General features: G+C 42.2%; 1 protein-coding gene across 12 annotated transcripts in view, besides 4 other annotated features; it reads left to right on the plus strand.

Annotated features, from left to right (window-relative positions):
- The window catches only part of SMAD1 (SMAD family member 1), a 78,407-nt gene continuing 62,443 nt past the window's right edge, over nt 10,613-26,576 (plus strand). The window contains exons 1-2 of one of the 12 annotated variants that reach the window (XM_047415688.1): nt 20,120-23,686; nt 24,324-24,473. The gene's annotated coding sequence lies outside the window, so the exon portion shown is untranslated. Of the gene's footprint in view, nt 10,686-11,148; nt 11,244-11,492; nt 11,596-11,695; nt 11,882-12,176; nt 13,020-13,068; nt 14,608-20,119; nt 23,687-24,323; nt 24,474-26,576 lie in introns of those variants that run through there. The other 11 variants (XM_047415690.1, NM_001354812.1, NM_001354813.1 and 8 more) reach the window with 11 other exon arrangements.
- Nucleotides 11,465-11,594: a silencer, noted in NCBI's record as "silent region_15727". NCBI's record gives its function as "represses an Ori minimal core promoter by ATAC-STARR-seq in GM12878 lymphoblastoid cells {active_cell/tissue: GM12878}" and the evidence as "EXISTENCE:reporter gene assay evidence [ECO:0000049][PMID:35858748]".
- Nucleotides 11,765-11,924: a silencer, noted in NCBI's record as "silent region_15728". NCBI's record gives its function as "represses an Ori minimal core promoter by ATAC-STARR-seq in GM12878 lymphoblastoid cells {active_cell/tissue: GM12878}" and the evidence as "EXISTENCE:reporter gene assay evidence [ECO:0000049][PMID:35858748]".
- Nucleotides 12,265-12,324: a silencer, noted in NCBI's record as "silent region_15729". NCBI's record gives its function as "represses an Ori minimal core promoter by ATAC-STARR-seq in GM12878 lymphoblastoid cells {active_cell/tissue: GM12878}" and the evidence as "EXISTENCE:reporter gene assay evidence [ECO:0000049][PMID:35858748]".
- Nucleotides 12,415-12,514: a silencer, noted in NCBI's record as "silent region_15730". NCBI's record gives its function as "represses an Ori minimal core promoter by ATAC-STARR-seq in GM12878 lymphoblastoid cells {active_cell/tissue: GM12878}" and the evidence as "EXISTENCE:reporter gene assay evidence [ECO:0000049][PMID:35858748]".

A 26,576-nucleotide genomic window follows, 5' to 3' on the forward strand; every position in this document is an offset into this window, starting at 1 on the left:
ACTGAGTCTACCTAAAATACTTCACTTAAGTACAACACTATGAATGTCCAGTGAAAAGAATATTGGCTACATTTGCTGAACACATATATATGCCAGATACCTCATTAAGTACTTTAGAGGCATTAGCATACTCGCTGTGTGACCTTGGGAAGTCACGTAACATGTTGGTGTTTCAGTTTTCTCATCTATAAAATGGAAATAGCATAGTATCTATCTCATAGGATTGATTTGAAGAATAAAGGAGTTTATAACATATATGTAAGGTGCTCAAAACAATGTCTGGCAAATAGTAAACATAAGTGTTAGCTATTATTATCACTAGTATTATTGTTCCTCACAAACTCTATTCAATAAACACTGATACTATCCACAGATAAGGAAGATGGCATCTACCTTGTATGGAGATTTGAGACTGAAAGAGATGATGCCTCTCAGGTGTTTAGTATTGTGACAGGTAAATGCTCTGTCAACTCTAGCCATTATAAGTTTGATATTTAACAACACTTGAAAAAGGCTCTCATTTTAAATTTATTTCAATACTTTTTGGGGAACAGGTGGTTTTCATTACATGGATAAGTTCTTTAGTGGTGACTTCTGAGATTCTGGGGCACCCATCACCTGAGCAGTGTACACTGTACCCAATGTGTAGTCTTTTATCCCTTACCCCCACCTCCACCTTTCCCTGACAAGTCCCCAAAGTCCACTGTATCGTTCTTACGTCTTTGCATCCTCATAGCTTAGCTCCCACTTATAAGTGAGAGTATACAACAATTGGTTTTCCATTCCTAAGTTATTTCACTCAGAAGAATGGTCTCCAACTCCATCCAGGTTGCTGTGAATGGTGTTATTTTGTTCCTTTTTATGGCTGAGTAGTATACCATGGTATACACACACACACACACACACACACACACACACACACACACACACACACACATATATATATATATATATATATATATATATATATATATATAACTTTTTTTTTTGAGACAGAGTCTTGCTCCGTCACCCAGGCTGGAGTGCAGTGGTGCGATCTCAGCTCACTGGGCAACTTCTGCCTCTGGGTTTAAGCGATTCTTCCACCTCAGCCTCCCAAGTAGCTGGGATTACAGGTGCCCGCCACCATGCCCAGCTAATTTTAGTATTTTTAGTAGACACTTGGTTTCTCCATGTTGGGCAGGCTGATCTCAAACTCCTGACCTCAGGTAATCCACTCACCTCAGCTTCCCAAAGTGCTGGGATTACAGGGGTGAGCCACCATGCCCAGCTCACATTATCTTTATCCACTTGCTGCTTGATGGATATTTAGGCTGGTTCCATATTTTTGCAATTGCAAATTGTGCTGCTATAAACATGTATGTGCAAGTGTCTTGTTCATATAATGACTTCTTTTCCTCTGGGAAGATACCCAACAGTGGGGTTGCTGGATCAAAGGTAGTTCTACTTTTAGTTCTTTAAGGAATCTCCATACTCTTTTTCATAGTAGTTGTATTAGTTTACATTCCCAATAGCAGTGTAAAAGTGTTCCCTTTCACCACATCCATACCAACATCTATTATTTTTGATTTTTAAATTATGGCCATTCTTGCAGGAGTAAGATGGTATCTCACTGTGGTTTTAATTTGCATCTCCCTGATAATTAGTGATGTTGAGCATTTTTTTCATGTTTGTTGGTCATTTGTGTATCTTCTTTTGAGAATTGTCTGCTTATATTTATGTCCTTAACCCACTTTTTGATGGGATTATTATTATTATTATTGTTTGCTGATTTATTTGAGTTCCTCGTAGATTCTGGATATTAGTCCTTTGTCGGAGGCATAGTTTGCAAATATTTTCTCCCACTCTGTGGGTTGTCTGTTTACTCTGCTTTTGTTAGGTGAATTTAGGAGCAACATTTGAACAACATATATAAAATGATCGAATTAATAGAGATCAGATAAGTGAAGAGAATGCTGTCAGTCTATATCAGGAATCCAGTAGCATTAATATTCTCTGTGATGTTTTGGGGAATAAGGACGTTGAAGTATTGAAGTTCCACGTGGCAGGAAAGTGAGTGAGAGAATAAATCATCCTCAAAGGTCTGTGTCTAAATACTACAAATACTTACTGACTTCACCAATACTACAAATACACTGACAATATAGCACAAGACAATAATTCCATTAAGCAAAGAGTATAGAATGGCCCATGTATTAGTCTGTTCTCACACTGCTGTAAAGAACTTCTTGAGACTGGGTAATTTATGAAGAAAAGTGGTTTAATTGACTCGCAGTTCTGCAAGCTTAACAGGAAGCATGGCTAAGAGGTCTCAGGAAACTTATAATCATGGTAAAAGGTGAAGGGAAAGCAAGCCACATCTTACCATGGTAGAGCAGGAGAGAGAAAGCCTATAGGTGCTACAATTTTAAACCATCACACCTCGTGTGAACTCACTCATTATTATGAGAACAGCATGGGGGAAATCTGCCCCCATGATTCAATCACCTCCTACCTGGTCTCTCCCCTGACATGTGGGGATTACAATTCAACATGAGATTTGGGTGGGGACACAGAGCCAAACAATATCATTCTGCCCCTGGCCCCTCCCAAATCTCATGTCCTTCTCACATTGCAAAATACAATTATCCCTTCTCCATAGTCCCCCAAAGTTTTAACTTGTTCCAGCATTAACTCAAAAGCTCAAGTCCAAAGTCTCATCTGAGACAAGGCAGGTCCCTTCTGCCTATAAGCCTGTAAAGTAAAAAAAAGTTAGTTACTTCCAAGATACAATGGGGATAGAGAAATTGTATAAATGCTCCCATTCCAAATGGGAGAAATGGGCCAAAACAAAGGTGCTACAGGCCCCCATGCAAGTTCAAAACCCAGCAGGGCAGTCATTAAATCTTAAAGCTCCAAAATAATCTCCTTTGACTCCATGTCTCACATCCAGGTTACATTGATGCAAGGGGTGGGCTTCCAAGTCCTTTGGCAGCTCCTGTGGCTCTGCAACTCCAATGCCCCTGTGGCTCTGCAGTGTACAGCCCCCTTTAGCTGCATTCACAGGCTGGCATTGAGTGCCTGCAGCTTTTCCAGGTGCACAGTGCAAGCAGTTGGTGAATCTACCATTCTGGGGTCTGGAAGATGACAACCCTCTTCTCACAGCTCTACTATGCAATGCCCCAGTAGGGACTCCATTTGAGGGCTCCAATCCCACATTTCCCCTCTGTACTGCCCTAGTAGAGGCTCTCCATGAGGACTCCACCTTGGCAGCACACTTCTGCCTGGACATCCAGGCATTTCCGTACATTATCTGAAATCTAGGCAGAGGCTCCCAAAGCTCAGCTCTTGTCATCTATGCGCCTGCAGGCCCAACACCACGTGGAAGCTGCCAAAGCCTGGGCCTTGCACCCTCCGAAGCAACAGCCCAAGCTGTATCTTGGCTCCTTTTTGCCATGGCTGGAGCTGGAGGGGCTGGGTTGCAGGGCATCATGTCCCAAAGTGGCACAGAGCAGCAGGGCCCTGGGCATGGCCCACAAAACCTTTTTTCCCTCGTAGGCCTCCAGGCCTGGAATGGGAGGGGCTGCTGCAAAGGTATCTTACATGCCCTGGAGACATTTTCCCCATTGTCTTGGCTGTTAACATTTGGTTTGTCTTTACTTATGCAAATTTCTGCAGCCAGCTTGAATTTGTCCCCAGAAAATGGCTCTTTTTTTTTTTCAACCACATGGTCAGGCTGCAAATTTTCCAAACTTTTATGCTCTGTTTCCCTTTTAAACATAAGTTCCAATTTCAGACCATCTCTTTGTGAACACATACGACTGTACGCTGTGAGGAGCAGCCAGACCACATCTTGAGTGCTTTGCTGCTTAGAAATTTCTTCTGCCAGATACCTTAAATCATCTCTCTCAAGTTCAAAGTTCCATAGATCTCTACAGCAAGGGCACAATGCTATCAGTCTTTTAGCTAAAGAATAGCAAGAGTGACCTTTACTGTAGTTCCCAATAACTTTCTCATTTCTATCTGAGCTCAACTCAGCCTGGACTTCACTACCCATATCACTATTAGCATTTTGGTCAAAATCATTCAACAAGTCTCCGTGAAGTTCCAAACTTTCCCACATCTTCCTGTCTTCTGTGCGCCAAATTGTTCCAACCTCTGCCCATTAGCCAGTTCCAAAGTTGCCTCCACATTTTCAGGTATCTATATAGTAATTCCCCACTTTCCTGGTACCAATTTTCTGTATTAGTCCATTCTCACACTGCTATAAAGAACTACCTGAGACTGGATAATTTATGAAGAAAACAGGTTTAACTGACTCAGTTCTGCAGGCTAAACAGGAAGCAAGGCTAGGAGGCCTCAGAAAACTTACAATTATGGTGGAAGTTGAAGGGGAAACCAAGCACGTCTTATTATTGTGGAGCAGGAGAGAGAGCGAGGTGGGGGAAGTGCTATACTTTTAAACTATCATATCTCATGAGAACTGACTCACTATCACCAGAACAGCACGGGGGAAATCTGCCCCCATGATCCAATCACCTCCCACCAGGTCACTCCCCTGACACATGGGGATTACAGTTCAATATGAGATTTGGGTGGGGACAGAGAGCCAAACCAAATCACCCCACAAATTTAAGAAGCTGGAAATATAAGTTCTACTGCCATCATAATGTTTACCATAGAATTTTCACATGGAACTTTGTAATGTATAGACTGTTACAAAACTCTCAGGAAAAGGGCTGACAACTTTTTATTAATTCCTACAATTTATAATTAGATCTGAATTTCAGACTTGGGGGCAATAATGAGAACAATTACTAGCTGTAATTAAGAAAAAATACCAATTTGTATTTGACCGCAACAGTTGTATTAGAGATTTATTCTTTCAGCAAATATTTGAGGGTCTGCCATGACAGGTCTGTGCAAACTTTGGGCTTGGAGATGGGAACACAAACTAGATACAGCTCCCACCCACATATTACTTAGAAGAGCAGTGGGGTTTTCTCACTGGATATTCAATAATTTGACTAAATACATTCATAATTACAGACAGCTATAAGTTCTTTGGAGCAAAGGGTGTGATGAGAGAATAAAGGATTTCAACAACAACAACATTTTTTTCTGAGACAGAGTCTTGCTCTTTGGCCCAGGCTGGAGTACAGTGGCATCCTCACAGCTCACTGCAGACTTGACCTTCCAGGCTCAATCCATCCTCCCACCTTAGCCTCCTGAGTAACTAGGACTACAGGCACATACCACCACACCTGGCTAATTTTTTGTATTTTTTGTAGAGATGGGGTTTCACCATGTTGCCCAGGCTGGTCTCGAACTCCTGACCCCCACCTCGGCCTCCCAAAGTGCTGGAATTACAGGCATCAGCCACCATGCCTGGCCAGCGTTCCTTTTAATATGAAAAATAACACACCAATGATCCTTGGCAGGCTCATTCCAGGAAAACTGAGTCACTTAAATTCCCTGAGGGAGCTGAACTATAAATCATTACATTTATTTTTCTATTGAGTAGAATCATCTCTTAAAACAGGTTTTTGGATTTACATTTTGCCTATATAAAATTTGCAGCCAATTTTAAGGACTCGTCTTATTATAAGTGATTAGTAGCTGATTTTTTCCTGATAAACTGATTAGCATAATTAGTTTGCCTTCAGTTCCTTAATATCTCCTTTTCTGGAAGGATCTTGTCCTCCTCTCTACCTCAGCCATCCGCCATCTCTGGTCACACCCCTACATCTTGGCATTGCTCAAAACTGCCCCAGCATCATGATTTCAATTTCAAGTATCTCATTCCCAGACTGCTCCCCAGCTTTTGGGAAAGGCTCCCAACTCCAGTAACTCATGGACCACACTAGGAGCTTCACTCGGTGGATCCTATCATCTTTCCAACATTTCACATTACTATATGTTCTCGCCTTCCTCCTATCACAGACCCCCGACAGTCACTCTATTGCCTATAGCTTCTGCTGTCTGATCCCCTTCCCTTCCCTGACATACACCTGCAAAACCCCAGCCCTAGTTAAACTCAGCTCTGTCCCCTCAGGTTAACCGAGGCTGGAGAAAAACCCACAGCCATGCTGACTGGTCTTACTTTAAATTCATGGCCACTAGGCTGGGTGTAGTGGCTCATGCCTGTAATCCCAGCACTTTGGGAGGCTGAGGCAGGTGGATCACCTGAGGTCAGGAGTTTGAGACCAGCCTGGCCAACATGGTGATACCCCGTCTCTACTGAAAATACAAAAATTAGCCGGGCATGCTGGTGCATGCCTGTAATCCCACTTACTAGGGAGGCTGAGGCAGGAGAATCACTTGAACCTGGGAGGCAGAGGTTGCAGTGAGCTGAGATCATGACAGTGAGCCAAGATTGTGACAATGCACTCCAGCCTGGGTGACTGAGCAAGACTCCATCTCAAAAAATTAAAAAAAAAAATTAATTAATTAATGGCCGCTAACCTCAAATGGACACTTAATAGTAGCAATCTTACCACATTTCCACAGTTCATTCACTCTCAAACCCTACCAGATGACTTAGATATTACTCCTCTCTCTTCCAACCTCCAGCATCTCTTCAATCCCACCATTCTCGGGAAGCAGGTTCCCGGGCAATTTCACTAAGATGAGAGAGTGGTGAGAAGAGACCATCCCTGCGTTCTCACCTCTGCAAGCAAGCACCAGCTTGTGTGCATCTGGGTCCACACACTCTGCCTTCCCTCCAGTCACTAGCTTTTCCTACATCACTGCACTGTCCCCAACCCTGCCCCCCAGCTTTTCAGTGGATGTGTAAAGTAGACTCAGCTTCTAGGTCTTTACACTTGCTCTTCCTTTTGCTTGGGAGGTTGGGAACTCATCCCTCAGAGTGTGTACTGTGCTTCCTTCCCTTCCTTCAGGACCTCTTGCAGTGAGGTTTCCTCTGCCCCTTTAGAAATAGTCATCTCTCCCATTCTCAATCCCTCTTCCCCTGTTTTTTCCATCACTTGTACCACTACCTAGCATATTTGCGTATTTATTTATTTATTTATTTATTTTTTTTTTTGAGATGGAGTCTCGCTCTGTCGCCCAGGCTGGAGTGCAGCGGCACGATCTCGGCTCACTGCAACCTCTGCCTCCCGGGTTCAAGTGATTCTCCTGCCTCAGCCTCCCAAGTAGCGGGGACTACAGGCACATGCCACCATGCCCGGCTAATTTTTTTTTTTTTTTGTATTTTTAGTAGAGATGGAGTTTCACCATGCTGGCCAGACTGGTTTTGAACTCCTGACCTCGTGATCCATCCACCTCGGTCTCCCAAAGTGCTGGGATTACAGGTGTGAGCCACCACGTCTGGCCGTGTATTTATTTATTATCTGTCTTCCTTAATGAGGGCAGGGATTTTTTTCTGCTTGCCACCATATCCCCTGCTAGAACAGTGCTTCACTTACTCATTCATTCAACAGGTATTTAATATGCTCCTGTTAAATACCAGGCACTGCTCAGGTGCTGAGATTATAGCAATGAACACAGAAGACCAAAAATCCTGCTCTTTTGGCTAAATAATACGGAGACATTTGAGTGAAGACTTGAGGGAGATGAAGGAGTGAGCCATGTGGACATCTGTGGGAAGAGCTGTCCAGGGAGTGCTATGGTTTGAATGCATTCCCCAAAGTTTATATATTGTAAACTTAATCCCCAGCGCAACAGTGTTGAGAGGTGAGAACTTCAAGAGGTGATTATGTCATGAGGACTGTTAAATTAAGTTTAGGCTAAAGCTGCCTCCATATATATATATATACGTATATATACATATGTACATATGTATATACATATATATACACACACATATATATATATATATATATATTTTTTTTTTTTTTTTTTTGAGACGGAGTTTTGCTCTTGTTGCCCAGGCTGGAGTACAATGGCATGATATTGGCTCACCGCAACCTCCGCTTGCCGGGTTCAACTGATTCTCCTGCCTCAGTCTCCCGAGTAGCTGGGATTACAGGCGTGAGCTACCACGCCCGGCCCATACATATTTTAAGTTAGGCCTAAAGGTTTCTCTGTACACAGCAAACTGTAACCTAACTGGATATGCAAACAGACTGTAGCCAACTCTTGTACCAATCACAGAGTTTTGGTCAATCACAGGCAGCCAACTGTTCAAACTGTGTTAAAATAAAGCAAATATTTAGCTCTAACCAATCCAGTTTTTTCTGTACCTCACTCCATTTTCTGTCACTTTTCTTTCTCTGCCCATAAACATCATCTGACCCTGTGGCAGCCCCAGAGTTGCTCTGAAACTATTCTGGTTCTGGGGGCTGCTCAGTTCTCAAATTGCTCTTTGCTCAATTAAACTCTGTTAAATTTAATTTGCCTAAAGTTTTTCTTTTAACAGGGATCTGTCCTCATGAATGGATTAATGGCATTATGGGAGTGCGGTTTGGTATCTCAGGAGGGGATTGCTGATATAAGCATGAGTTTGGCCCTTTTCTACCCTTCCTCTCATGTTCTCTCTCTTGCTATGTGATGCCTTCTGCTATGTTGTGATGAAGGAAGAAGGCCCTCACCAGATGCAGCCCCTTGATTTTGGATTTCTCAGCCCCCAGAACCATGAGCTAAATTAACTTTTATTGTGTATAAACTGCCCAGCTGGTGGTTGTATTGGTCCATTTTCATACTGCTATGAAGAAATACCCAAGACTGGGTAATTTATAAAGAAAACGTGGTTTAGGGCTGGGTACGGTGGCTCACGCCTGTAATCCCAGCACTTTGAGAGGCCAAGGCAGGTGGATCACCTGAGCTCAGGAGTTTGAGACCAGCCTGGCTAACACCACAAAACCCCGTCTCTACTAAAAAATACAAAAAAAGATTAGCCAGGCGTGGTGGTGCATGCCTGTAGTCCTAGCTACTTGGGAGGCCAAGGCAGGAGAATTGCTTGAACCCTGGAGGCAGAGGTTGCAGTGAGCTGAGGTTGCATCACTGCATTCCAGCCTGGGTGACAGAGTGAGATTCTGTCTCAAAAAAAAAAGGTTTAATGGACTCACAGTTTTACACGGCTGGGGAAGCCTCACAATCATGGCAGAAGGTGAAGGAGGAGCAAAGGCACATCTTACGTGGCAGCAGGCAAGAGGGCGTGTGCAGGGAAACTGCCCTTTATAAAACCGTCAGATTCTCATGAGACTTATTCACAATCACGAGAACAGCATGGGAAGAACCCACCCCCATGATTCGATTACCTCCCACCAGGTCCCTTCTATGACACATGGAGGTTATGGGAGCTACAATTCAAGATGAGATTTGGGTGGGGATACATAGCCAAACTCTATCAGTGGTATTCTATTACAGCAACACAAAATGAACTCAGAAAGGGAGGGAACAGCTAGCACATAGATACTGAGGTGAGAATGTGCCCAGATTGTTCCAGAAGAGTGAGGATGCCAGTGTGACTTGGGGAAGTGAGCAAGAGGAAGAGTAGAAGTGCAGGTCAGAGTGCTAAAGGAGGGGAAGGAAAGATTATGTAGAGTCTTGTGCTTATTATGGGAACTTTTATTCTGAGTGAAATGAGGACCCAAGGGAGGATTTTTTAAAAATTTAATAAAATGATATTAATATACAGTCCATATTTAGGTTTTTATAATGGTCTCATCAATGTCCTTTTAAAAAGAATATCCAAATTTTTATTATCATTTAAGGAAATAATTTGCACAATGGGCAAAATCAAATTTTATTGCATACATAATAATATTAATAGTTATCATTTAAGACTACTAGGACTGCACTAAGAAAGGCCATCTAGGCTGGGCGCGGTGGGTCATGCCTGTAATCCCAGAACTTTGAGAGGCTGAGACGGGTGGATCACTTGAGGCCAGGAGTTTGAGACCAGCCTGGCCAAAATGGTGAAACCCCGTCTCTACTTAGATGGGCGTGGTGGTGTGTATCTGTAGTCCCAGCTACTCGAGAGGTTGAGGCAAGAGAATTGCTTGAACCCGGGAGGCAGAGGTTGCAGTAAGCCGAGATCGTGCCATTGCACTCCAGCCTGGGCGACCGAGCGAGACTCCGTCTCAAAATTAAATAAATGCCATTTTTGATTTTTTTAAAAATTAACGACTTTAAAATGACAGTTTATAGCTCCTCCTCCCCATTCAGGATCCAATCAAGGTCATATACTGCATTTCATTGTCATGCTTTTTTTTTAATAGCTTGAGGTAAAATTCACATACCAAATGATTGACCCATTTAAAGTGTGCAATTTAATGGCTTTTGGTATATGCACAGAGTTGTGCAACCATCACCAGAAACTAGTTTTAGAACAATTTTGTCACCCCATAACCTTTAGCTGTCACTCCCCAGGTTCCTCATTTCCCCAACCCTATGCAAACCACCAATCTACTTTCTGTCTCCATAGCCTTGCCTACTCTGAGCATTTCACATATGTGGAAGAATACAATGTGTGGTCTGTCTTCTTTCCCTTCACGTTTTGAAAGGTTATCCATGTAGCATGCATCAGTATCAGTACTTCATTCCTTTTTATGGCTGAATAATGTTCTCTTGTATGGGATACTTTATACTATTTATCAAGGGAGGGTTTTCAACAGAGGAGTGGCCTGATCCGAGTGGCATTTAACAAGGTTCACTTTCCTGTTGTTCTAAGGAGCAGAGAATGATCAACTGCGTCAAACGCTGCTTTTAGGGAAAATAAGATGAGGCCCACGAATTGACCAGTAAGTGCTCAAATAGGTTAAGGGAAAAAGGAATTTAATTAGAAGACATATTCTGATATACATTGCTGGGAGTGATTTTTTTTTTTTTTTTTTTGCTTCATGTGAAATTTATTCCTCAAAAAAAAATCATTTTTTCTAAACGTAACTCAACATTATAGTAATTATGCAAGATTTTATGCAGCTTCAAGAGTTAGCCAAGAGAAAAGTTGACTCTTGCAAGAAGATATTTTCAATGTCTATGCAGATCAGGTAGGTAAGAGTTAAGTGCGGGGGAGTTGGCATCATCTAAAAGACTGTAGAAATTGGACCAAAAATGTGGAGTTCTAAAGCAGTATCTCCTTATGGCATGCCATTATTTGGAGCAACAAGGTTACCTACTCGAATCACTGGATCCTGAGTTGACACAAAACGCATCTGTTGACTCAGGGTTTGTATAACCACGTGCAGTATTTACTAGGCTATCCAATTCTGGGTACGTACAACTTCTGGGGCCTGCAAATTATTGGAGAGTGAGTGAGGGGCAACGAAAGATAGACATAAAAGGGCGCGTCTCGAAAGGTAACTGTCAACATGCACTCCACGTTTATAGAACGATTCAGTGGGCGCGGTGGAAGCGTTAATGAACATTTCAGAAAATAAACATATGGAACATCGAAATTCACTTGCAGATAATGGACTAAGTCCGCTCCACCGGGACTAAAAAGGCAGGGTTAGGAAAGCCTGAACGCCGCCACACTGTTTTTTCTCCAGGAAGAAACGGGGCGTGGGGCTGCCGGTAGAAGGGGGTGGCTCCGGCCGCTCCCCCGCGCCGTCCTCCGGCCCCGGCCGCGCTGCGCTCACGCCGGCCGGGCCGGGAATTTGGAGAGGATCCCTGGTCGCGCGGCAGCGGCGGCGGCGCGCGGGTGAGCGGGTGAGCGTGTGAGCGGGCGGGCGGGCAGGCGAGTGCGCCGGGTATTGGCAGCTGAGGAGTGGAGGCTGGGCAGCTCCGACTCCCTGACGCCAGCGCGACCAGATCAATCCAGGCTCCAGGAGAAAGCAGGCGGGCGGGCGGAGAAAGGAGAGGCCGAGCGGCTCAACCCGGGCCGAGGCTCGGGGAGCGGAGAGTGGCGCAGCGCCCGGCCGTCCGGACCCGGGCCGCGAGACCCCGCTCGCCCGGCCACTCGTGCTCCCACACGGACGGGCGCGCCGCCAACCCGGTAAAACGAAACAGACCCGAACCGAACTTTCCCTTCATGCCGCGTCCCAGCCCTCCCCTCGGCGCCCCGGGCTTTCCAGCGCCGCCGCCGCCGTCTCTGCACGCGTGGGGCCGCCGCGGTCGTGCTGGGCTGGGGGCGCGGGCAGCGGCGGGAAGGGGGCTCTTTCTGCGCGGGGCGGGCCGCGACCCCCCCCCCCCATGATGGCGCCTCCCGTCTGCTCGGAGGAGCGAACCTGCTACCACGTCTTCTCGCGCCCAGCCCGCCGGGCTCCCCTGGTGTCTTTGTTGGGTCTTCTGCTGTGGGAAGCCCAGTTCCCGGGCCCCCGAGCCTCGGCTCCCGGGCCTGACCGCGCTGGGATCTCCCCGGCCGCGCTCCCCTTCCGCGCGCTCCTCACATCTCTCCCGTGCTGCCGCCGGGCCGAGGCCCGTTCGCGTGGCCCGCGGACCCATTGTGTCCCCCGCGCCGGCGGGGCGACCCCTGCGGGAGCTGGAGGACGACCGCTGGCGCTGCTCTCCAAGGCGCCTGGTGGAGCGGGTCTCGCGGGCGGGGGACCCCGGCGCCCCGGGCCCCTCCACATCCCGCACGGGTTTTCTTCTCGGCCCCAGCAAGCCTCTTTGGGGTCGAGGTCAAGGAAAGTTCGCACCGAGATCCCCTCTAATTTATTCAAAGGTTTGGCGGCGGCGCGTAATTTTTTCCCCCTCTTCCGCCTACACCCGCTGCGTCTCCTGGTGTCTCGTTCCTTTCCCTTTACCGGAGTCGATTGCCTCACTGCATGTGTATTCGTGAGTTCGCGGTTGAACAACTGTTCCTTTACTCTGCTCCCTGTCTTTGTTAGTGTTTCTCGGGGTTGTTTCTGTAGGAAGGTGGGGGTGGTGGGCGTGAGAGACAGATGTGGGCTTGTTTTTCTAGTTGCTGAAACTGTATGAAGGCTTTAAAGGGAGAACGTTTTCTTGATGTGCTTTAGGAGGGGAGGAGGAACAAATGCCTGCCAGATCTCACAGCTACAGTAGCTGAGCTTTTGTTTATTTTGAAGAGCATGCAATTTTTAAATACACGGTGCAAGATAACCAGTAAAGGCGCGTTCCTTCTGAAAATTGAGGCCGGTCTCAGAACCATCTCCTGAGAAAGCATCCTTTTCGTGAGTGCTGAGACAACTGTCCTTTTTCTCTGCCCTCCCCCCTCTTTTCTTTCCATTGTATCTGAAGTTTCAAAGTACGTGGAATGATACAGAAGTTGCATGATTTCTGTTATTTCTTCCTGTTGCTGAAACTCTCAGCCGCTAAATCTCAGAATGCCTCTATTTCAGAACATCTCTGGGTCTAATTGCCTGTTGTGGATAACTTGCCCACACCTCAGTAACACAATGAGAAAACTGTTCCCTGCCCATGTTGATTTTTCAAATTGTTTGTAATTACTTTAAATTGTATTGAAGGTAGGTGGACCGTGTTAAAAAAGAATCGGAACAGAAGTGTTCACTGCCCCAGCATTTTCAATTGGTATAAATATTGTTGCATCAGTGTTATTCTGATGTAGGTGCCAGATCTAAATATGCTGTACTGATTAAAGTGTTTGTTCTGCCCTCTCCCACTCTCTTTCCCATTTGCAATTATTTGCTATTTCTGTGCAGGTGGTGTATCATTGGTGTAATACTGCAGTTCTTAGGAAGGTGTAGCTAGGGTCGTGAGAGATGATTTTTCTGGAGGTGGGTGATGCCAGAGCCTCTAGAGGATCCAGGCAGGATCGAGTTTCTTCTGAGGGTAGGGATTTGTCCTTGATTTAGTTTTGACCCCTACAACCATAGGTATGTAACCAAATACATTTTACCTCTTGCAGTATCCTTTGGTTTCGTATCCTTGAAGAGCTGATGACCTTTGTGTTTTAGAGAAATGACAATTTTTAGGCAATTAAAGACATTGGCCTCTTACACTTCTTGGAATTTTATGTTATTTTTACTAAGTTCATTAAGGCATTAAGAGGAAGTTGTCACATTTTCTCAACTACGTTTATTACATTTATTAGTTAAAAACTAAATTTCACTTTGTAATTTTGATTTCTAGCAATTCTGGGTTAAATATTAAATCTAATAACCTAGTAGATTGGAAAAAGAAGTAGCTTGGGTATAGTAATTAGACTAGCATGTTTAAGCTGCAGTAGCCTACATAATCAAGGCCAAGTGTGTGTGTATAAAAGATCTCATTTGTGTAGTCTTACAAGGCTAATGGAGGCATCACTGAGGCTTTATAAATAATGTAAGTTGGGTATAATGTAGAGTCTCCAGAGACGGCAGAGAAAGCATCATTACCAGCCTTTTCAACCTGCTTGAGATCTTAAATTGATTTACAGCACTGAACTGGTGCAAAATGATACATCAGGATGACATGGGGTCAGCCTGTAAAAGTCTATGATGTCAGCCTATTAGTTCAGTCATCATAATTAAACCATATTACAGGGGTAGCTAAGCAGGAGTCTGGCGTTATACTTCAGATATGGGTGGTACATGGGTTTTGTTTATAGTGGAAAGGCTGAGATGGCCAGGGATACCAGTGTGTGTGAAAGAGGGAAAAGGCTTACAGAACTATGAATTTCTGTAGAAAAATTTAAGATAAATGCAGAGATATTCAATCTGAATTGTATAAGTAGCTTTTCATTTGGTAGAGGAGAAACAGATGCTTTAGGGATGCTGATAAGGACCTTTGCAGCTCTGATATGTGTACTGAATGCTTCATGTGAGTTTGAATTTAACTTGGCCTTAGGGACCTTATAAAATATCAGTGGACCACATACTTAACTTTGATCCTTTTATTACCCCTGAATTTTCACTGTATTGATATCTACTGACATGTTATTTCTTTAACTAGTCAAACTTACCAGGCCTATACCAGAAACAAAGATATTTGAATTGAACATATAAACAGTTCAGGAAAAGAAGATCCTTATTTTGCTTAAGTTTCTGACAATCCTTATTTAGCTTATGGATTATCTAGGGCTCTGCTATCCTAGCCATAGTCACACGTAGCTTTTTTTGAAATTTTATTATTCTATTTTTTTGAGACAGGGTCTCTCTGTGTTACCCAGGCTGGAGTGCAGTGGCACGATCATGGCTCACTGCAGCCTCGACCTCCCAGGCCCAGGCAGTCCTCCCACTTCAGCCTCCCAAGTTGCTGGGACTACAGGCACTGCCACCATGTCTGCCTGACTAATTTGTTTTTGTATTTCTTGTAGAGACAGGGTTTCGTCATGTTGCCCAGGCTGGTCTTGAACTCCTGGGCTCAAGCTGTTCTCCCGCCTCGGCCTCCCAAAGTGTTGGGGTTACAGGTGTGAGCCACTGCACTCGGCTACTTATAGCTATTTAAGTTTAAATTAAAATTAAATAAAAATTCGTTTTCTCAGCAGTAGCCGCATTTCAAGTGCTTAGTAGCTGCTTGTGGTTAGTGGCTGCCATACTGGACAGCGTGTATATAGAATAGTTCCATCATCACAGGAGGTTCTGCTAGCCATTGCTGCCCCAGGACCTTTACCTCTTCTCACTTGTTAACTCTACTAATGATTTGTGGAGTCAAAGATGGAAAGACATATATAAACTAATTTTATCACTAACTAGCTGTTCTTTTTAAAATAAAACACAATTTGGAAGGGACAGTTGAAGCTGCTGGATAAAAGGAGTTTGACTTTTCTGTAGATCTTATTTATTATTAGTGTCATCGATTCTAATTTGGTTTAGAGCCTTAGAGAGAAGAAATAATTGTAGCTAACCCTTTTTTCTGAATTTTTACTGTATGTATGCCAGGCATTGTTTATAATACCCATATCTCATTTAAGCCTCAAAACTTCCATAAGTACTATTGTTGTCACATTTTACAGGTAAAGAAACTGAGGACAGAATGATTCAGTATCTTGCTTCAGGAGGTACAGTGAATGATTATGATTTCTAATCTTACCTGGGATATGATCGAGGCAGTCCAACTCTAGAAACTCCATCTTAACTATGTTTTTTGGTCTTTCGTTCAGAAGACCCAAATCATCATTGTTCTGCTGTGCTTTACTATGCCAGTATAGACATGACTTGGCTTGTGTATTTTGTAGGTCTTTAAATAAATTTACCTTCTATTGTGCCTTTCTGGGCTATCTTCTGTCGTTCTTTTGTAAGTGTTTAAGAAAGGAAAAATAATGCTCATCTAAGCAGCACATAATTTGAAGAATAAATCTGGCATGAAAATAATGCATTTCAAAGCCAAATTAGTTTTATCTCTGCTTTTCTGCATAATTCTTGTCACTTTCCTCTTGCATTTTCTTACATAATCACAAACTGATATTAAGTTAGGAGGAAAGTTGTAGTAATTCAGTTTGTCTGTCTTACCAAAATTAGTCTATCTTCCCTGAGCTGTTAAACACTGTAAGAATAGTAATTGCAAATTCATTGGGGATTTTTAAAAAAACATTCAACATCTATTTTTGTAAATGTTTTACAAGGTCAGGGCTGTTTAAGAATCGATGAAACTATGGATCTTGTATCTTCTTATTCCCACCTTCCTATCCCAAAATGCTTATATGTCATGGTGAGTTAATGTGTACACTTAACTATCCAAATCTCATGGTCTTTCGGGTGAAATATGTCCATGGGACTGCCAAGTGCTTTCATAAACATTAAGATTTGTAATTTCCTTTACAGAGAATAGAGATACTTAGTATTAAAAGTTGCTTTAAAGATTTTCTAATCTGGTTGGTTCATATCAAGGTGAACAGTCTGAAGTCCAGAGAAGGTAACTGACATCCAAAGTTACCTGTCTAGTGATTGGAAAAGGGAAAGCCAAGATCTGGACTCCTCTTGGCATTAAGTGCCCTTTTGTTTTCAGGTTTTTTTTCTCCCTACCACGCTCACGATATTTCTGAGGCTTTGGTGTAAGCATATCCAGTGTAATTTAGGGAAGGGAGGAAAGAATTTTTTGGCCTGTTAGCAACTTTTTATACCTAACATTGTTTGAGCTAAGTAGGAATCAAATCTGACAACCAGAGAGAAATGCTTATTTTCTACATATTAAAATTGATTCTTTTTCATTCTGGAGATGGAAAAGAAAAGCCCTATATCTAATTTAATCAATGAGACCTTATTAGAAAATGGGAGATCCAAGATTGCACAAAGTTCAAATTAAAGCAGGCAACTCTGACATCTAGCAAAATATACGAATCTCCTCTTGACTCTCGAAAACAAATCACATTCCTAACCAAAAGCTAAAGTTTGGGGTATTTAGGGAGCTAGGGAGTCCTAGGGAGAGAATTGGACAGGTCTGAGGAGAAAAAGGATAATTTAAATATAAAAAAGTGGAAAAAATCGGTTTTAAGTCATAGCATGTCTTTGAGGTTGATGAAATGTTCTGCTACTTCTATATGTGGTTTTACTCTTTGGTACCAAGATTTTAGGACATACTTTGATAACAAATAGGGGCATGTCCTCTTTGCCCCAATCTGAAACCTCTTGACCCTTTATTTTCCTTTCCTGCTGTTATCTGGTAGTACAAATATTCAGTCTAATCTGTTGATCTGGCATCTGATTTGCAGCAAAAATACCTGAAGTATTTTCATCACTCTGCTGTAGCCACCTTTAAAAAGAAAAGGAAAGAGAAGAAAAAGGCAGAGCCAAATAGTATTAATGTAATTGCTTAAAATCTAAATTAAAATACTCATCTTGCTCTGCGTTATTAAGATGGTGTCAGTTTTAGAGGTGCAGGGCTAGTCCTATATGCAAAACAGTAATGTCTGTAGCTATTGCGGGCTGACTTGCAGAAATGAGCGGCTTCTCTAGAACATTCATTTGCATAAAGGAAACTATCTTTCAGAAAAGAAAAGCCAAAAGTTTCATAAGCAGTTTCACTCCAGTGACTACATCAGAGTTTTAGTAAGGTACTGGGAACTACAGTATTTGAACAGTTCAGCATCTTTATAATTTTTGTTATAAGCTAAAATCTGAACTTTAGAGAAGACTCTCTCTTGAAAATAAAGCATTAAATTCTCTAAGGTGTGAGGAAGTCCTTACCTGGTGATTTTCCCAAATCTCTTTTATGTTCTTAGTGTTTGAAAAAGGAACTTTTTTTTTTTTAATAAGAACCTAGGTTTGCAGTATAGATTGGTTTCTTAACAAATATTTTTTTTGAGACAATAAGCCTGGATCTGAAGAAAGAACATACAATTGTTAATTATGCATGTATATGCTTTTGAGTTCAGGATGTAAATGAATATTCACTAGGTCCTGTTTGGGAAGAGGAGGAGAGAGGGGTCTCTCTGTTGATTCAGAATATATTTTTATACATAAGTTTTAATGCTTTATTTGTAGTTTCCCCTTAATTGTAGGGCTGCTGTACTGTGGATATTTTGCTCTACAATCTGAGATTGTTAGGGTATAGTTACTCCAACTATTCATGTATTATCCTCTCCCTGTCTTTTTGTGTGTGTGTGTGTGTGTGTGTGTGTGGTTTCTTTGTGGTGTGCTTATGCAAAGTAGAAGTATTCCAGACCTTTATAGCTTTTTTTTCTTTTAGTTTCAAACACTTCAAGAAAAAAGGTGGGGGGGAGACTCTCTCAACGGTTATAATTAGGCATTAATTAAGCCATTATTCAGTTAACTAAATGCAAGATCTTTTGTTTGTTTAGATGGAAAAGAAACGTATCTTTTTAATGAAGGAGGGATATTAAATGGGCCCTTATTTGATCATTTTGCTGCAGTATTGTAATAAGTATATGCTTCATTTATTCCCTGAATATTTATTAGTTCTGAGGCTTAATAATTAGAGTATACACAAACATGAAAAATTAAATGCAGCAACATTATAAGAGCCGTTACAAGGTAGTATAGGAGTAAATTGTACAGACAACTCACATCAGGACCACTGTGGCCTGGAAGGACATGTGAGTTTGCATAGGCAGAAGGAAGAGGGACATTATAGACAGAGTAATGGCATGAAAAACTGGGAGATAAGCATGAGTGTTGAGTATCTGTAGAGCAGCACTGTCCAATAGAATTTCTGCAGTGATGGAAATGTTCCACATCTGTGCTAATACAGTAGCTGTAGCCACACATGGAACAGCATTTTTTAAAAAATTAATTTATGTTTCAGTAGCCACATGTGGTTATCATATCAAATAGCACAGATCCAGAGGCAGTGAGCAGCCCTGCCTGACCTCAGTGGGTGTTCCTCATGGAGCCTAGTATGGTGGTGTGGAGGAGATGCTCAGAAAGGTTGACTTCCAGTGAGAATTTTAGGGCCTTAGAGTGCCAGAATAAGGAAACATTGGGAAGTCACTGAAAGTGTTTGAACATGCAGTTTGCACTGGAGGGATAGAGCCCAGTGCCAGGAGATCAGTAAGAAAGCTATTGAGTTATGTGTGAGATGATAAATCTCTGGTAAAGGTAGACATGGAAAGAGAAGGATTTAAAAATAAATAAATAAATAAAATAAAACAAAAAACCATGAAGGCTTGGTGATTATGTGGCTATAAAGTAATGAGAAAGAGATGTCGGAGATATATCCTTAAGTTTCTAAACTTGGTGGCTGGAAAACTAATAAAGATGTTACTTAAGAATAGGGAAGAGCTGGTTGTAGAAGAAATAAAAATTGTGCAAATGATAAATTAGACTTGATGTGTTAAATTTAAGGTGCGATATCTAAGTCAAAGTATGCTACAGGCAGGTTGGAGATAAGGTTTGGGAGGACTTGAAAGCTTTACGTTAGACTCTCTGCAGTCATCTGCTGGGTATTCTGAGACAACCACAAAGAGAGAAAGAACTGGTGGATTGAATCTTCCATTGGAGCCCACGGTTAGGAATTAATAGAAGGAAGAGGCTAATTTGAAGTAGACTGCCTGAGAGGCTGTTTGACATAGACCAAAGAAGAAACTGGAAGAAAGGCATGGGGTCAGAGGAGTGGGAAAACCAGGAAGCCACTGGAAGAGAGATTCTAGAAGTAGGTTTGGAGGGGAAAATGTACAGTTCAGGGTGAAGGAGAAGAAGTCAGATAATCATGTGAATGCAATTTCAGAGAAGGCTGAATACATTAAGAAGTGAGAGAGTCTTATATTGCCTTAAGTGACTTGAATTTTAAGATAGATGAGACCTCTTCATATTTGAAGGTTGAGGGGAAGAAGTCAGTGGACAGAGAGCAATTGGAGGTGATGGAGTTAGCCATCTGGAGCACAAGTGACAAATGTTGACCGTGGTAAGGAGGGAGAGTTGTCTGAGAAAGAAACAGAATGGGGTCCGAGTGAGAAGAAAGCATGTGGCAGAGCTCCTGTGCACTTTTGCTGATTTTCCTGTATTGTTGGAGGTAAGTCCTTTCACTGGGATGGTGAGGAGGAAGATCAGCACATGGTAAGGGAAGAAGAACCACCGTAGGTAGTGTGCCAGGCAATCTATAGAGAAGTCAAATTCTAAACAATTGGGGGGAAACCTGGGGTGAAGTGTGGTGAGGCTGCTGTATAGGAGACTAGGTTAATTGTTACTTTTTGGTATCACTTTGTGGCCTGGTAGGCTTAGGGATAGCAAATGGGTTCAGAGATAAGACTCTAGAGTCAGATTGCCTGGGTGTAAGACCAAGCCCCAACACTTACTTGTTTTATAAGAAGCCTGATGAACTAAATGAATTGAGAAGCAGTAAGCAATGAGAATCTTGGTAATGAAGTAGTGAAATATCAAGTTTGGGAATTTGTAGATAGAGCATTTCCCTAACAATTCTAGATAAAGGTTTCTAAGAAAAGTATAGAAATTGAACTAACAGAAGAATCCCTGTAATGATTTTAAAGGTTAAGTTAATTAGAACTTAAAAAAATAAGTATTGTATTCTGAATTTTTCTGTGGCTTTTATTACAGCATTCATTACGGTTAAAAACATTTCTTTTTCATTAAACCAATATGTGCTTAATGCAGAAAGATTCTGCAGTGGATTCTTGTCATAGTGTTAGAAGGAAAGGGGAGTTTGATTTATGCCACTGGGGGGAGGGTTATTAATAGCCAGCCACAGAGCCCTTCAAAATGTGGCTCCAAAGGCAGAAACAATAAAGGAAACTTTTTATAGATTTGATAGCATTTATTATGTGACCAAACATACTCAAAAACAAAACCTGAAAGACAGATAAAGAGATTTGCAACAAGATATTGTTCTTTACAAGAAAGACTTATATCAATAGGAAGCACCACCCCAATAGAAAAATTGGTAGTGGACGTGAACAAGCATTTCACAAACAAATGAAATGCCAACTGCTGACGGGAAGATTCTGCGCCTGTAATCCCAGCTACTCTGGAGGCTGAGGCAAAAGGATCACTTAAACCCAGCAGTTCAAGGCTGCAGTGAGCTATGATTGTGTCACTGCACTCCAGTCTGGGCAACAGAGTGAGACTGTCTCAAGAAAAAGGAAAAAAGAAGTACAAACTACTAATGAACACACAATGTTTTGGTTATGTCCTGGATCAGACTTGATTGAAATGGGGATGATGTCTTCCTTTTTCCTGTATTTTGTTATTCTTTGTATACTAGGAAGTATCAGTCTGGGAAGACTGGGCTTTTCTCATTTAAGGAAAGGAAGCCCGAATTTCCCAGCCTCCTAGGAGAATCTGGAGTGTCAAGGAGGTACAAGATATATACAAAGTAGAGTTATAAGAGGCAGGCACCCTGCTTCCCTCCATAACATGGTTTTCGTCCAGGAGTTTCCTTATTGCAGTGTGAGGGGCTATCAGTTATACACAGTTTCTCAGTCACCTGGCGTAGATGATGAACCTTGAAGACACCAGTGCTTCCTAGAGCATATTGAAATAGGCCCCTTTCTCTCCTACCTGAATTGCAGTATTAGATTTTATAGTGGCATTTGCTCATTGATGTGAGACGCAGTGATGGTCTTGGAGTATAGTTTTGATTATTGAGATGGACGAGTTTATGAGGTATTAAATAAAGTGAGAAAAGTTCCCCTTGTAGTAAAACCTTATAATGTTTAAAAAAAATGTAAAAGTTAGGCATCAGTGTTTAATTTTACAAATTTTTTTAAAGGATAATAGGGGTCATGGGTTTTCTGTCAGTAGAAAACTCAAACTGTTTTTCCCTCTGCTCTCACACTACAACAGTCAACACAAAATACTTTTGTGACTAAATGTGTGTGGGTTTTTCGCTACACACCAAACACTGGCTGGGCTGGGTGTCTTCCAATTCAATTTTGACTCTACCTGGAGATAGCCTCAGATCCCACAGATTGAAGGTTCAGTCCCACCCACCTCCAACATAAGTCCAGGCTTCTGGAACTTCTGGCTGACCAGCTTCAAGTTGGGGCTCCTATGACTCCGCTCTTTGGATTCAATTAATTTGCTAGAATGGCTTACAGAGTTCGGGGAAACTTACATTTACTGATTTATTATAAAGGATATTAAAAAGGATACAGATGAAGAGATACATAGGGCAAGGTGTGGAGGAAGGGGCATGGAGCTTCCATGCCTAACTTGGGCGTGCCACGCTTCAGGAACCTCTGCATGTTCAGCTGTCCAGAAGCTCTCTGAACCTTGTCCTCTTGGTTTTTTATAGGGCTTCATTTTATAGGCATGATTGATTATACCATTGGCCACTGGTGATCAACTTAACCTTCAGCCCCTTGCCCCCTCCCTTGAGGTTGGAGGGTGGGGCTGAAAGTCTCAATCCTCTAATCTTGCCACCATCCTAAAGCTAGTTAGGGGCTGCCAGCCAACAGTCAATCATTAGCATACAAAAAGACATCACTTTGGAGTCTCCAAGGATTTTAGGAGCTGTATGCCAGAAACAAGGTTGAAGCCCAAATATATATTTTACAGTACCGCAGGTTTAAAAGTCTATTCATATGCTGCCCATAAGGGGATGAGTCTGCTGGTTATTGGTAGGATCCTTACCTAACTGAATTACATTCAGCCTTAAGTGAGTTCTTACCTTGCCACTAGACAGAATCAGAATTTGTCTGCGTCTTCTGTCTTACCATCTCCTTTCTTTTAAATGACCTGCAAACATTTTAAAGTTGGATAAAAAAGGCTTTTAAATCTCACCTTCAGGCTCACAACTTGGCCCACTAGCATCCCCTACCCATCCTTAAGTCCTTTCTGAGTGGGTTGTGACTGGGAGTACGGGCCCTGAAGTGATATGCATTGGTGAGACTTGTCACTCAAACTCTTTGAGCTAAGTGGTAGAGGGAAGAGAAATGCCAGGAAAATCGGTCTTAATTTTATCAGAGACAGTAGTTTTTCATGAAAGAGAGTAATGATACAGTGGATATTGCTGTAGAAATTATACAGCTGGTTGCGTATAGCTTGCCATCTCATCTATTACAGCTTCCTGTTTTGCTTTTTGCACATTGCTGGCTTTGCAGTCCAACATATTTAATAACAACCTCTTTATTTTTCATGTGTTTATGTTTGTGTGCTCAGGGCTTCTATTTAGTTTATTCAAGCTTGAGGGAATATTTGATTAGTTTTAAATGTTTTTCTGTTAACTGTGAACAAAATTAATTTGATTATCATTTAAATGTTGGCACAAAAACTGTATTTATAGCATTTATTCGCATTCATTTATAGCATATATTTGCTGAAGAGTTTTGTCAATTTGTGTGGGCTGAGATGTTCTGTATTCTAGAAAAGGCTCCTTTAAAAGGGGTGTGTCCTCACTGTGGAGTTCTCCTTTTTTGTTAAGCTGATATTAATCAATTCAGCAAGTATTTCATGCATTCCTGCTGTGCATCCAGCACTGGACTATGTTTTGGATGGGATAGAGAAAACTGTAAGTCATTTTCTGCCCTGAAGAAGCAATCTAATTGGTAAGAGGAGATTATGCATTTGAAACTTTCACTTCAAAATCAAGGGATTGGGGAAAAAAGTCTGATGCATTTGATAGAGCTTTTTGCCTCTGGCCCACTTCTACCTTACTTTATTCTGTATTTATTAATTTTTTTTGAGACAGAGTCTCACCCTGTCGCCCAGGCTGGAGTGCAGTGGCGTGATCTTGGCTCACTGCAACCTCCGCCTCCCAGGCTCTAGTGATTCTCCTGCCTCAGCATCCTGAGTAGCTGGGATTGCAGGTGCCCGCCACCATGCCCAGCTAGTTTTTGTATTTTTAGTAGAGATGGGGTTTCACCATGTTGGCCAGGCTGGTCTCGAACTCCTGACCTTGGGACCCACCTGCCTCTCCCTCCCAAAGTGCTGGGATTACAGGCGTGAGCCACCGCGCCCGGCCCCAGTTCATTCTTTCAGCAAGGTTTTGAGTGTCTGTATTTCTATTTATGCTTATGTTCATAGTGTATCTCTTAGACAGCTTGATAAAGTTGGGGGTAAGGAATTGTAAGTACAGGACCTGCACTGAGGATCTTCTAACTTTAAGGAACAATACAAACCTGCTTGTCTAGTCTAGCATCTGTTGTAATGCCTTTTATTACAATTACCTTATTAACTCTTTAGACTGAGTTCCTCGAGGGTATGGCCAGTGTCTTTATGATCTTTGTGCTCGCACAGTGCCTAGTGCAGTGGTTCTCCCTTGTCTACTCATCAAAATCGTGTGAACAGCTACCACCACAAAGATGCCTGGGCCCATCCTATTGAAGGGTTATGGTAAGGAAGCTTTTAAAAATACTGTTAATATCCAGCAACATTAAGAACGGTTGGGCTGGCACACAGTAGGTACTTGGTGAATGAATTTTTTCATTTTGTTGTTTTTAGAATTACATCAGGAAATATGGTATGTTGTGAGTTCATTGTAGTTATGAACCATGTCTTTTATACTCTGTAGCACCCAGCACTGTGTGATGTCAGTTGTGGGTGCTCAGACACACCAGTTAAGTTCTGAGGATTGACTGCTTTGCTTCCCCTTTTTTTCATTGAGGAGAGCAGAGACAGAAAGGATATGTGTGTTTGACATCTCTCCCTTTTCCCTTTGTGGAAGAATCAGCAGTTCTGTGAATCCCGGAGTCTGCAAATGAGTTATAGAAAGCTGTTGAGGCCTGAGGTGCTTAGATTGCAAAGAGAAAAGGAGAGGAAAAGTGGCAGAATAGAGCTGTGGCTTATCTGGCTATGTCAGAAAAATTTTTGGTTGTCACGAATTGGAGGGAGACGCTGGAGGGTTGCAAATAGCTTCTAGTGGGTAGAGGCCAGGGATGCAGCCAAACATCCTGTAATGCTAAAGTTGAGGAACCCTGAAATAGAGGATAAAAAAGGGGATCAGGAGACAGATGGGGTAACTGAAGTGGTAGTGTCATGACCGTTTCTGCCACACCAGCACACAGTTTGTGTGCTTTATCTTCCCACTTTCCTTACCCCTTACCACAAATCCTTCAGAGTCCAGAGTACTATTTTTGCCATTATCTATAAGTAGCATTGTGACTTACAACTGTGTATTAGGTGTTGAAATTAATATCTTAGCATCTTATCTATGTTAAAATATACCTGAAAGATTCCTTTAAATTTTCTTTATCTCTACATCTACTTGATTGGAAAACTATTAACCTCAAGATAAAAAGAGCTAGCAATTTTTGTTTTCTTTATGTTTTCAATAAAGGATCTTAAAATAATCAGTGGGAATGTAAAGAAAATTAATTTCCTTTTTTTTTTTTTTTTTTTAACTAGACAGGGTCTTGCTATGTTGCCTAGGCTGAAGGCTGGTGATCACAGCTGATTGTAACTTCGAACTCTTGGGCCTAAGTGATCCTCCTGCCTCAGCCTCCCAAGCAGCTGGGACTACAGGCATGCACCACAGTGCTTGGCTTTTTTTTTTTTTTTTTTTAAATAAAGGCTATGTTGCCCAGGCTGATCTCAAACTCACAGCCTCAAGCAATCTTTCCACCTTGGCCTTCCAAAGTGCTGGGATTACAGGTGTGAGCCATTGCACCTGGGTCAAGAAAATGAATTTCTTAAAAGGAGTTTAATTTTAGTGTTCTACAGATTCATCATGAGAAAAGGATTATTAAGATTTGAACACATACAAGAGCTAATGGTGCCAATTTTCTGATGTCTTGTTGAATGATAGCTTATAATGTCTTATTCTAAGCTCTTTAGATTAAAGTGAATTTAATTTTGTCACTGCTGCCTTGATAAAACTCTTGTTTTTTTTTTCATGTTCTGGGTAAGTGGGAAGGTATCAAGAAGGAAAGCAATAGCAAAAACAAGAATAAATTAGAAAGGGATGGAAGGAGATGGAGGGAATTTTTTAAAACTATAAGCAAATCCTTGCCTGTTACTCTGCCTTATGCATCAAACCAAGGGGGGGACTACTGTGGAGAAGCAGTAGAGAGGTTACCTTGGCAGGTTCCTTAACTTTTTTTGTGCCTCAGTTTTGTCATCTATAAAATAGTTCTTGTTCTATAGGACTCGTGTAAGGATTAAGAGACCTATTTAATTAAATTTAAAGTGCTCAAAACAGTGCGTGGTGATTCATAATGGTTGTGGTTGTGGTGATGAGGATGATATAAGGATGACTTTTGATTGTTTTTGAATATAGTTGACCCTTGACCAATAGAGGTTCGAACCGCAGGAGTCCACTTATACTCAGATTTTTTTCTCAACCAAAAGTGGATAGAAAATACAGTATTTGCAGAAGGTGAAACCTGAATATGCAGAGGGGCAGCTTTTTGTTTATGCACGAGTTCCACAGGGCCCACTGAGACCTGTATGCAAGGATTTTGGTATTGGGTGGTGGGGTCTGGGAACCAGTGCCCCAGG

The sequence above is a fragment of the Homo sapiens genome, chromosome 4 (assembly GCF_000001405.40).
Source record: "Homo sapiens chromosome 4, GRCh38.p14 Primary Assembly".
In the NCBI taxonomy this organism is placed as follows: Eukaryota; Metazoa; Chordata; class Mammalia; order Primates; family Hominidae; genus Homo; species Homo sapiens.